The sequence below is a fragment of the Homo sapiens genome, chromosome 3 (assembly GCF_000001405.40).
Source record: "Homo sapiens chromosome 3, GRCh38.p14 Primary Assembly".
NCBI lineage: Eukaryota > Metazoa > Chordata > Mammalia > Primates > Hominidae > Homo > Homo sapiens.
Genome location: NC_000003.12, coordinates 68,447,037 through 68,460,053, shown reverse-complemented (window position 1 = coordinate 68,460,053; position 13,017 = coordinate 68,447,037). Strand labels below are relative to the sequence as shown.

At 38.2% G+C, this 13,017-nt stretch overlaps 1 protein-coding gene across 7 annotated transcripts in view; it reads right to left on the bottom strand.

The window, feature by feature from the left end:
- Positions 1-13,017, bottom strand: part of TAFA1 (TAFA chemokine like family member 1) — a 554,078-nt gene that overhangs the window by 85,568 nt on the left and 455,493 nt on the right. The window lies entirely within an intron of this gene.

Here is a 13,017-nt window from a genome sequence, read left to right as displayed (position 1 = left end):
AGGAACAACCATAAAGTAATTCTTTCAGAGATGATATGCAGTTGTCCATCTCTCAAGCCTCAATAAACGGCCTTAACACGTTTCCCTCATGATCTACCTAAGTAAAGGGTCGTTAATTACTTTGTGAATCTGAACAAATATTAAAAGCACAACCCAAGTTTAAGGGTAAAAAGCACAACATCTTTATTATAGTTTCTAGAGCTTCAGGTATCTCTGATTACACATGAGAAGTTTACCTTTGTTTATCAATTTCTTTTCTTTCACTGGGGATGATATTCATGAGTATTTGACTGGGATATCTTAAAGTGAAAGTCTTATATGGGTAAATAGGGAATTAGGGAAAAGGTGGCAATGAGCTCTTTGTATTGATTTTATCATTCGTTTCAAAGATGAGATAATACTTTCTATCAACTGCAAATACTTTCATTCAGCTCCCATAAAACTAGTATTAGTTTCATTTATTTTGTCCTCACAGTTAGGATTTAGTTATATTTATTCAATTCTCAGAACTTGTATTTTACAAAATGAACAGTTTAGTCTGAATCATTACTTATTCTTCTAGTGCGTTAAAAAACAGAACAAAAATAGCATTTCTTTAAAATGAGTCACTACTTAAAAATTTTTATTTATTTCTCTCTAAGATATAGCTTCTGAACTCAAGATCAAAGTATGGGAAGAATTTTTCCAATAACTTCAAGTGCTCTTAATGTTATAAAACCTGTCTACTATTTTAAAAAATAGTGTTATTGCTTATTGTCCTACAGGTTAAGGAAATTATTACTTGTAATGGATGTTGTGGGGTGCCACCTGATCCTCCCCACTCCCCTCTCAGGACAAGACACTCATTCCCTCAGCTCCTGCAATGGGAATTGCCCTCAGCTGATGAGCACTTCCTTGCCCAAAATGGTACCCCCCTCCCAGGGAGCACCCTGCACTCAATGACGGGCAAATGTGGGGATAGAATGGCTGCTTCTTTGCCTAAAGGAGAAAAACTCTGAAGAATTCTCGCTGTGAGAACAAGGCTAATGCTTTGCAATGACTGTACCACAATTCAGCTCCTTTTTCTGTAGATTGCTGTTTCCTTGCCCTGCCTCTCCCACAGATGTTGATCCTGAAGTCGTTACTCAATAAACCTCCCGAAAGTAAATCTGTTTTAGAGTCTGTTTCCCAGGGAACCTGCCCCAGATATTACTAAGTATAACTGGATTTACATTCAGGTTTGCCCTTTCTTATGGAAGTAGTGATACAGTTTAAAAAAAAAAAAAGTGGGAAGCACTGTTTAAAAATGTCTCTACTCCAAGCATGAAAGATTGTTTCCCCAGCAGTTCAAAGTGACCTTCATATGGAATGTTTGTACATAAGACATCTGGAAATGTCATAACAGTAGTTGCCAACATGTTATTTATTTCCTGTTGAGAATCTAAAAAGCCACTTTGGGAAAAGTGGGATGACTAATAAACTTAGAATCAGATTCCTGTGTCTTAGTACTGGATTCTGAGTTGATGACTTTGGACAGACTGCTTAACTTTCCTGAGCCCTCTTAGAAATTATAAAACAATGAACAGGTATATGGTTCTCATGAAAAACAAGCTGCAATTCTGGCTTATCAAATGTCCATGTACTAATTCATAAAATGCTCCTGTAGTAGAATAAGACCAGATATGTTAGTTAGTTCTTGCATGATATAATAAAACTACCTGAGACTGGGTAGTTTATAATGAGGTTTAATTGGTGTATAGCTCCACAGACTGTACAGGAAGCATGGCTGTGGAGGCCTCAGGAAACTTTCAATCATGGTGGAAGGTAAAGTGGAAGCAGGCATGTCCTACATGGCTGGAGAAGGGGAAATATAGAGAGAAGGGGGAGGTGCTACATACTTTTAAACAACCAGATCTCATGAGAACTCTCTTACCATCGTGAGAACAGCAAAGGGAAAATCCACCTCCATGATCCAGTGACTCCCCACCAAGCCTCTCCTCAGCACTGGGGGCTATAATTCAACATGAGATTTGGGTGGGGCCATAAATCCAGACCATATCACCAGATCATTAAAATGTCTAATGGGTTCATCCCATGAGCTTACCCATGAGTGATAGGGTAAACTATTTCAAAGTATTTCAAATCATGGTCTATGGGACAATGTCATCAGAATCACAAGATGTTTGTTAAAACATCTTGGATCTCATTTATATGCGGACTCTAAAAAAGCTGAACACATAGAAGCAGAAAGTAGAATGGTAGTTACCAGGAGCTTGGAGAAGGAGGGGACTGGGAAGATGCTGATCAAAGGATAAAAAATTTCAGTTAGAAATTGAAGAGATCTATCATATAACATGTTGATTATAGTTAATGACAATGTATTATATTTTTGAAAATTGCTAAGAGAGTAAATTTTAGGTGTTCTCACCACAAAGAGTGATAAATATGTGAGGTAATGCATATATTAGCTCAATTAGACATTCACAATGTTTATGTTTTTCAAAACAACATGTTGTAGTTGATATACAGTTGGCCCTTGAGCAACATGAATTTGAACAGTGCAAGTCCACTTGTGTAGGTTTTTAAAAATAAATGTATTCAAAACAATTTTTTAGACATGTGACAATTTGAAAAACTAGCAGATGAACTACGTAGCCTAGAAATAGCAAAAATGTTAAGAAAGTTATGTCATGAATGCATAACATATATTTAGAGAGTAGTCTATTTGATCATTTACAACCATAATATATGCATAAATCTATTATAAAAAGTTAAAATTTGTTAAAATTTACACACACACTTACAGGCCATACATGGAGCCATTCACAGTTGAGAGAATATAAACCAAGATAAACATGCACTATTAATCCTAACTGCATAAAATTAACTGTAGCACATAGTATACTACCATGTAATTTTGTAGCCCCCTACAGTTGCTATTGCAGTGAGTTGAAGTGTTACAAGTACCTACTTAAAATGCCATGTGACTCTAATTATCTCCAAGTGAACAGTACATCTCTCCAGTAAATTGCATACTGCAGTAAAAAGTGATCTCTTATGGTTCTTCTGAATTTTTCATCATGCTTAGCGCAGTATCATAAACCTTGGATAACACCATGGGACCCATACGAGGTGCCACTAGTGATGGTTGAAGTGTTCCTAGGAAACAGAGAAAATTCATGACATTACAAGAAAAAGTTGAATTGCTTGATTGAGGTCTGCAGCTGCAGTTGCCTATCATTTCAAGATAAAATGAATCCGGCTTAAGGACCATTGTAAAAAAAGAAAAAAGAAAAGTGGGAAGCTGTAGCTGCAACTATGCCAGCAGGCGCAAAAGCTTGCATTTTTTGCAAGATACCTTTTCATATCATATTGAAATGAAGCTTTTATATGGGTGCAAGATTGCTATAAGAAAGCCATACCCATAGACTCCAATGTGATTTGAGAAAAACAGAAGTCATTACCTGACAGCGTAAAACAAAAGGAAGGTGAAAGATCTAAACCTGGAGAAATTAATGGCAGCAAAGGATGGTTTAATAGTTTTAAAAAGAGGTTTGGCTTAAAATATGTCAAGATAACAGGAGAAGCAACTTCTGCTAACCAAGAGGCCGCAGACCAATTCTCAGATGCTGTTAAACAAATTTTTGAGGAGAAAGAGCATCTGCCTGAAGAGATTTTAAATGAAGATGAAAGTGTCCTATTCCAGGGGAAAAAATGCCACAAAGGACATTTATTGGTAAGGAACAGAAGCAAGCACCAGGATTTAAGCCAGGAAGCTAACTGTATTGTTTTGCGCAAATGCAGTTGGGTTTTTATCAAGATTGCCCTTATATATAAAGTTGCTAACCCCTGAGTCTTGAAGGGAAAAGATAAATACCAATTTCCAGGCTTTTTGTTGTGCAAGAAGGCCTGCACAACAAGAATCCTTTTTATCTGAATTGGCTCCATTGATGCTTTGTCCCTGAAGTCAGGAAGTACCTTGCTAGTAAATAATTGCCTTTTAAAGTTCTTCTAATATTGGACAATGCTCCTGGCTACCCAGAATTCCATTATTAGTTCAACACTGAAGGCATCAAGTAATCTACTTGCTCCCAAACACCATGTATTTAATTCAACCTTTATATAAGGGAGTCATAAGGACCTTTAAAAGGCTCCTTAAGCGTGACACTCTATAAAAAGTTTGTCAGTGCTATGTAGGAGAACCCTGAGAGAGAACACAGTGAAAGTCTGGAAGGATTACACCATTGAAGATGCCATTGGTGTTACAGAAAAAGCTGTGAAAGCTATCAATCCTGGAACAATAAATTCCTGCTGGAGAATGTATAATGTATCCAGATATTGTACATGACTTCACAGAATTCATGACAGGGCCAATCAAGAAAATCTTGAAAATGATCATGTATATGGCAAAAAAAAAATTGGGGGATGAAGGGTTTTAGGATACGGATCTTGAAGAAACTCAAGAGCTAATGCACACCAGACCAGAGGAATGAATAGAAGACAAATTGATGGAGATGAATGCATCGAAACCTGATGATGAGGAAGAAGATGGAGAAGCAGTGTCAGAAAACAAATTGACCTTGGACAGTCTGGCAGAAGCATTCCAATTATTGAAGACTGCTTTGACTTCTTTTATAACGTGGGTACCAAAACTAAAGCAAATGGTGGGTAGAGAATTGGTTCTATATAGAAACATTTTTAGAGAAATGAAAAAGCAAAAACATCAGACAAATGTTATGATGCATTTCTGTAAAGTTACATCAAGTATGCCTGCCTCTCCAGCCTCCCCATTCCACCTCCTCCAACTGCCTTTGCCTTTTCTACCCCTGAGACAGCAAGACCAAGCCTTCATCTTCCTCCTCCTCCTCAGCCTAGTCAATATGAAGATGAGGAGAATGAAGAATTTTATGATGATCCATTTCCACTTAAGGAATAATAAATGTATTTTCTCTTTCTTATGACTTTAATAATATTTTCTTTTCTCTAGTTTACTTGATTGTAAGAAAACAGTGTATAATATACATATAATATGCAAAATACATGTTATCGATGTTTTATGTTATCAATGAAGCTTCCAGTCAACAGTGGGCTATTAGTAGTTAAGTTTTGGGGGAGTCAAAAGTTATAGATGGATTTTTGACTGTCTAGGGGATTGGTGCTCCTAACCCTGTGTTGATCAGGAGTCAACTGTATACATTTATTTGTCAATTAAAAAAATGAAAACAAATAAAAAATGCAGATTCCTGGATGCCACCCTAGCCTACTGAATCAGAATAGCTGGGGGTTGGCCTTAGGGACATAGCATTTTAAGTGAACATTTTTGGTAATTCTTATGCAACTTGTAATGAAGAATAGAAGAATAAGTGTGGGTGTGGAGGCTCAAGGAGGGAAAGGAAGATCTGAAACAGTAGCTGTTATGGACCAGCAACAACAGTAACAAAAACTTGTCACTAAGAGCTCAGATGAGGATGGAAGAACTGGTCCTTACATAGTGTCCAAATGGCTCAAGATTTCCAACCCTTCTTAGAAGCTCAGGAATAGGCATAGAGGTAAGGGATTCCTCTATTAATCCAGAGCTCTGGGCTATATCAAACAGGATACAGTGGAGAACTATAGATATGGGCTTCCAAATTCACAGTTCTTGTACAAGGCTGTTTCAGATAGCTGACCCTAAAATCTGAGAGTGGGAAGGAAGGACATCAAGGCCAGCTGGGATGTGATAGGCTGGGGAATAGGTTGGGGACAATGGGGCTCAAAATGCTAGTAAAATCAAGTTCAGTAGAAGCAAATGAATAGATGGGGTGAAAGGAAGAAGAATTCAAAGACAGGGAAGAATATTTAAGGGACTTAGTACATATGATGATCCTGTATTTCTTATAGAAATAATGCTGGAGAGCCTGGAAAAGCTGCCACTATTCTTTTATAATTCCTGTGTCAACTACTGTAGGTTCTCACATTGTGAAGTTGCAGAATCTTCATTTAACAACACAATTGCAGTCAGTGCTATAAATTTACAAGTTGCTGTAGGTGCCCCATTGGTACAGAACATCTGTTAACCTGCTTCAACTTCCACGGGATGTGCAAAGAATTAATTTCTCATTTCAGCCCTTCTCCTTAAGCCTTTATTTACTCAGATTCACCCGAGAGTGAAGTTCAGATTTCCAGCAGAGTGTCAAGGTGAGAGGCCCTAGAAGTTACTGCATCTTTATCAATAAAGAATATGCATGCAGAGGATTATGGGAAATATGAAAAGCTCAGCTGCAATGTAAACCTTGTAGCTAATTGTCATTTAAATCATGGCGTTGATGAATAACATCCCAGGAATAAAATGAGCATTCACCCTGACAAATAGTTCCTCAAAAATTATCTAACACAATTTCGGCATATTGCTATTTGTCAAATTATTCCTTTGCCAGATGCTTACACAGAATCTGTTGCCCATTGCCAAATGGCCTAGCTGTACATTTTCTCATTAGATAGAATTGATATTCTATGCAGAGAATGTATCAAATATAATTAAGAACAAAGAGATTTGTATTTGCATTTTCCATCTACAAAACCACTACATACCTCCTCTCACCTGGTGGTTCAAGCCCATATATATGCCATCCTCCTCATTTGGGGCATCCAGAAGCCTCCAGACTTGCTGAGGATAGTGTTACAGCTTGCATTTTGATCAGAACAGGAATGAAAAGTGACTTGAAGAAGAATTGCATTTACAACATGCACCATTTTTGTCATTTTGGAAACATGCTGCATTTTCTGATTGCAGACATTTTCACATCCTAATATAGGACCTGTCAGTCCCCAGCACAAATTAAACAAGGGTGAAAGGAGTCTGCAATGGCTCTCTTGTCAAGACAGAGGGTTTGGGGCACTACCTCTGACCTACTCAAACCCCATCATTCTTAAAAAGAATTCAAAAATCTGGAGTCGGGTGACTCTCGAGGTTAGTAAGCGCTTATGTCTCTGGAGATTAATTCATTTTTTGAATCTTACTGAAATAAAGCAATTCTATAGCAGCAAGGAAAAAAGCCCCAAGTATCTAGCAACACTGTAGTGTTTCAAATGAATTTATATTATCATTCAAAGAGGCGAGTAGATGAGCCCATGATTGACAACTACAGTTTTCAACATTTACAATTCCCTCTTCAGGGATATTCAGAATCGATTGAAAAAGAATGCAGTGTTTAGGAACTACTCAGGGGTACTTTCAGTAAAAATGCCTTAAATAATGATTGCCCAAAGCTTGCCAGACACTTTGTAAATGTCAGAAACACATTAAATATGTTAAATGGGCATGTTCAATATCTAGAAAACAACACAAATGATTTACAATCAATTTCACACATGCCCTGGATGCCTCCCTGATGGAAAACAAAGACATCCTCTTTGACTGGGGCACATGATTCCAAGTGTTCATTTTGGTATAGAATTCAAACTCACATGGCTGCTTGACACAATATAGGGCATTTTCCATGGCTGAGTAAGCATAGTAGTAGACATGTTCTTACCAGGTTTTTTGTTTGCTAGTTTTTTTTTTTTTTTTTTTGAGAGAGAGTTTTGCTTTGTCGCCTAGGCTGGAGTGTAGTGGCGTGATCTCGGCTCACTGCAACCTCCTCCTCCTGGGTTTGCGCGATTCTCCTGTCTCAGCCTCCCGAGTAGCTAGGACCATAGGTTCCTGCAACAACGCCCAGCTAATTGTTGTATTTTTAGTAGAGACGGGGTTTCACCATGTTGGTCAGGCTGGTCTTGAACTCCTGACCTCAGGTGATCCACCCACCTTGGCCTCCCAAAGTGCAGGGATTACAGATGTGAGCCACGGCGCCCAGCCGACATGTTCTAATAAAAGTACAGTGCATAAGAAAGCAATGTGGCTCCTTAAAACTAAATTCTCCTTTTAGACCACAACCGCATGTCCTTCAGGCCTTCTCAGGCCCTCCTTCTTTCCTTCCTTACTCTTCACCATCATGGAAGCATTCAGACCCTGGGTCCTTTTGTTTTCTCCCAGCCATCCTCCCCTCTCTTGGCCTTTCCTTCTATCCTGGGTGATCATCTGAACACCTCCCTCAGAAATCCATCCAGATTCCTTCACGGTTCCATCCTGTCATCACAGTGTCCAGGAAAACCTCCATGCAGAACAGCACAAAACTTGCTTGTCACATTAAATGTATGGTCTCCCACTTAAGTTAGGCCATCAGAACTGACCTTTAATCCTTTTAGTATCAGCTAACTCCCTGTCTCATTTTGGAATGACCCATTTCATATCACCACCTCTCCCCTCCAGCCCGCACAACTCTTTCATTCTTAACAGATGGCTCTGATCCCTATGATGTGGAGAGAGTCTCATCTGTCAGTTTGGTCTTGTTGTCTTTCTGTCCAGTGTCTTCTCATGTCATTATACCTATACAAATCCCACTTCTGTTTTCACTGTTATACTTTTTTTTCCCCAAAATCAACCTCTTTTGTGCTCAGAATATTTTTGAATGTACAGATGGAAGGGGAAGATGACAGGGATATGGGGATATGACTTCAAGGAAAAGGCCTAATAGCCTTTTTTTCCTTTGTGATGCAGGACTGTCTTCAGCACCATCTCTTTCTCCCTCTTTTGAAACATCACTAAATTAGTCGTTTACTTTGTCTTGCATTCCTTCAAGTTCCTCCTCTACTGACAACCTCCCTTCAGTCTTATTAATATGCTCTAGTCTTTACCCTCTGGATATCAGTCAACTGCTCTCATAATGAATATTTCTGATGCATTCATTTAACAGACGTTTATTGAGGACTTACAAATTATGAGACACTATGGCAAAAAGAACTGTCTAGGCTTACAATATTTATTTTCCTATTGTCCTTATATTGCATGAGTGAGGTGGTCAGATGTAATTTTTTATCTAAATCTGGAAAATGACTGCTTCATAGCCTGGATATTGGGACAACGGGCATAAACTGGGCTACCCTATTTGTTACTCACTGCAATATGAAAAGATAGTTTCATAGTAATGAAGTCAAGAGCCTGGACTCTGGAGCTAAACTGCCTGAATTTGAAACTTTAATTCCATCACTTATTTGCTGTGTTTCTTCAGGAAAGTAATGTAACTTCATTTTCGTTCAGTTTCCTCATTGTAAAATGGGGATAACCAAGGTGCCAATCTCATAAGATTGTAGTTTCAAATGAGTTACAATGTAAAGGGAGTTTAGTTGCAGTAGAGATATAAGCACAACATCAGATCATAATTACATAACACTTGCTACATGACTACAGACATGACTACATTACTAGAGTCATGTAGTAAGTGTTATATGTAATTAGGATCTTGTGTTGTCCTTATAACTCTACTGAAATTCACTAAGAGCAACTATACATTTCAAATTTCCAAAATGTTGGGACCCCCTTTTCTTCATATTTTATTGCATTTAATACTTCTTAAAAATCTACTTCCTTGGTCTCCATAACACCTTCATCTCTGGATTCTTTTCACTCTTGTGCAGTGGTGTTTGGAGGGTCCTTTTAATGGGATCTGATCCTTAAAATACACTGTTGCCTGGGCACCTGCCCATGAGCCATTCTTGAGCCTCAGGCTCTCCTTGAGTGATAGAATTCACTTTCATGGCTTCACTTACCAACAGACTGAGGCTCACTAGTTAAATTCAAACTTGTAACTCAGACCTCTTTGTCTTCAGGCTCATAAATCCAATTTTCTGTTAAACATTGCTAAATATATGTCCCAACTTTATCTCCAGCTCAACATGTTCACAACAGATTCCATTCTCCTCACCCTAAATCTGCCTTTCCTTTCCTAGTCTTTTAGTTGAATGAATCATAAACAGCCTCCAAGTACAAACTAGAAAGTAGGCAAATCACTCTTTTCCTCTATTATCCTCAAAGCTAATGAATCATGAATCCCATGGTTATATTGTCTCCAATGGATTGTTTGACTGCATCCCTTCTTTCCATCCTCAGGACTACAATTTTAACTCCCACTCTTATCATTCCTTGTGTGGATCATGGCAATCATCTAACTGTTCTACCTGCCTCCAGTTCTGTCCCAAAAAACCCATTTTCCATGAGTCTGGCAGCCTGCGCTGTGCCTGGCAAAAGGGGCTGCATACACAATGTCCAGCTCCAGGCAGGTCCTGTGAGTGAGAAGAGCAGGCTAGAGTAAGGAAGGAAATATCTTTTCCGTTTTTCTTGAAGCATGTAGACCTTTTGTTTATTCACTTTCCCACTTTTACCAAAAGTACTCTGTACTCATGTAGACATGAATACAAAGAAATATATCTTCACCATAAGAAAAATGTGCTTTAAGCTTGATGATAAATGGCCACACTCATGTGGGCTCAGCATTGGCAAGGAAACAGGAAGTGGGGAGATTATAGCCACCTGAAGAGCCCATGTCTGCTCCAAATGGGACATCATTACTCAGATGCCATGTGCAATATGGACTCAGAGATATTAGATCTTTGTGTTTTTTTGGAGAGAGGGTAGTCTTCTTATTTTTAAATATAGGAAGAAGAAATTCAATATATTGGGCCAACACATATGTAAATTAGATTTTTCTAGGTCACCAATTTGCAATTTCTTTCTAAAACATAAGTTTGATCATGTAAATCACCTACTTAGAAGACATTAGGGTCTCGCATCCTCTGTAAAATACCGCCTACATTCTCTAACAAAGCAGCTAGGACCTTCTCTGTTCTCGCCCTTACCTCTCCCCTTTTGTCTTTGGTACTTCATGTTTTGGAAATGATGAAATGAGTCTCATTTCCTGCATACAAAGCCCATATCTTACTTCTGTGCTCTGTATGATGCTGTTCCCCGTAGCTGTAACATCAATACTTCTTTCTTTGCCTAATTCCTACTCAACCCTCAAGGCTTGGTACACCGCCTCCTGCAGGAAGCCTTCCCTGCATCTTTTCCGTGCATTTCTCTTTCACTGTACTTCACTATTTTGTGGAGATGTATCTGTTTTTCCCACAGTAGACTCCAATCTCCTTGAAGGTTGTATTTGTACCTTAGCATGGAAATAAATCTAGTGTGGACACACAGTAGGCAGCCAATGAAGCTGTGTTTTTTTAAACAGCACTAATGAAACCTGAGTAACAGGCAGCTCAAATTCTGATACTAACTTGTGGCTGCTTCTCTAACAGTTATTAAGATCTCTTAGAATTAACACAGTGTTTTATAGCCCACAATGTCATTCCAACTAGATTATTGTTTTTTCTTCTCTACATCAGTCTAATAAGAGAGGTTTAGTCCCATTTTACAGTGAGAAAATGAAAACCCAGAGACGTTAGCTGACTTATTCAGGTTACACAATTACAGAGAAGTTATTAAATTTCTTTCTACTGCCTTTCATATCCAGTTTTCCTCTTACAACATTAACAGTTGAAGTACTCAATGTACTTTGAAGTTTCAGTGGATAGACCCACAGGGTCTGTGGCCTTAAATAGAAAAAAAAAAAAATCACCTCTTTCCTTCCATTAACCTTTAACTGCAATTAAGCATCTCCTTCAATTATGAAAGAATGCAACAAACTACCCTTGAATTAGCAGTACCTGTGACTTTGTCACAAATAGAAATCACAAAGATTTTTATTTAACAGTACAGTCGTCGTATTAATAGAGTCATTGAAACATTGTTTATGCTCTTCATTATTTTAAAACTCTGGTTTCTATTAGACTCACTGATGGATCTTGTTATTTACTGTATTAATAAAGAAGTATGCATATTACTGTCTCACAAATTTACATCTAAAAATATTTTGAAAATCAGATTTCAATATAATTGATTTTATTAGTTGCCTTATATTTTTGCTTTATGCATTCAAAAACATTATCCTCAGAAGTTGTCTGTGGACCTTATAACACTGTTAAGGGCTCCAAGGCACAAAACAGTTTAAGAAGCCCTGAGAACTCCTCCTCATTTTGTCCTTTTACTAGGAGATGACCCCAGGGATGCAAATGTCTCTCACACACCCTACTGCTCTCTGGCAGAACTGCTCACACCCTCCACCAACTGCAGCAGAATTCCTGAGCTCACTTCTCAGCTCTGCCACTTAATAATACTGAATGTGTGGTGTGGGTAAATTATTTAACCTTGGTGCTTTATTTCTCTCCTTTGTACCTATCTTATAGGATTATTGCAGGATTAACCAACTTAATAAAGTGTTTAGATCCATATCTGGCAAGTCGTGCTGTACATGTTGATTCTTTTGTTTACTGCTTACAGCATTCTTTCCTAAGAACAGAATATAGCTTTCCTAGGCAGAACATTGCTTCAGAATACTTCCTCACACAGGCTTGCAGCAGCTACTAACAAGTGATCACAGTTCACTCAAGAGATGAAAATTATTTGCCAGCCTTGGCATTATTCAGTTCATGAGTCTGGGTTTGCTTCCTATGGTTTTTAGTTACACTACTCTGTGCAAATGTATATTTTTTAAAATTTTCAACTACCATCCACACCCATCTAACTGTTGTCTAGAGCTTTGGAATAAACCTTTGGCTTGTTAATGATCAGATCAGAAACTGGAGAGTTTTGGAGCAATGGTTCTGGAACAAGGACAATTTCTGTAGAGCAGACAAGAGTTCACTGGGGGAATGAGTGGATCCTGAGCAAGTGATGCATAGTGGATGAATTGAGTTATCAAATCTAGCAAATTTAGGGGAGGGAACTGCAGTGGACAGAATGGAGTAGCCAACAGTTTGGTTTTTAGACAGCCAGTCAATGACTGACAACCAGTCAATCCTGGTTCTAGCACTCAATAGTGAGATGAACTCGAGAAAGTTCTTTTAGTTTTCTACATCTCAGTTTTCCTCTCCATAAAATAGAATAATCTTACCACTAATCTTAGGAGGCTGCATTGTGTGTGTTGGAGCTGATAAACATAAATGCCTACAATAATACATGGCACACGTATGGATATTTAACAAATGCTAGCTCACTTTTCTTTACCCACTTTTAAAATATGGGGCATCATTCCAACATTATACAAATCCTTTAAAAATATCTTTTCCAAATGGTGACAGCAACTG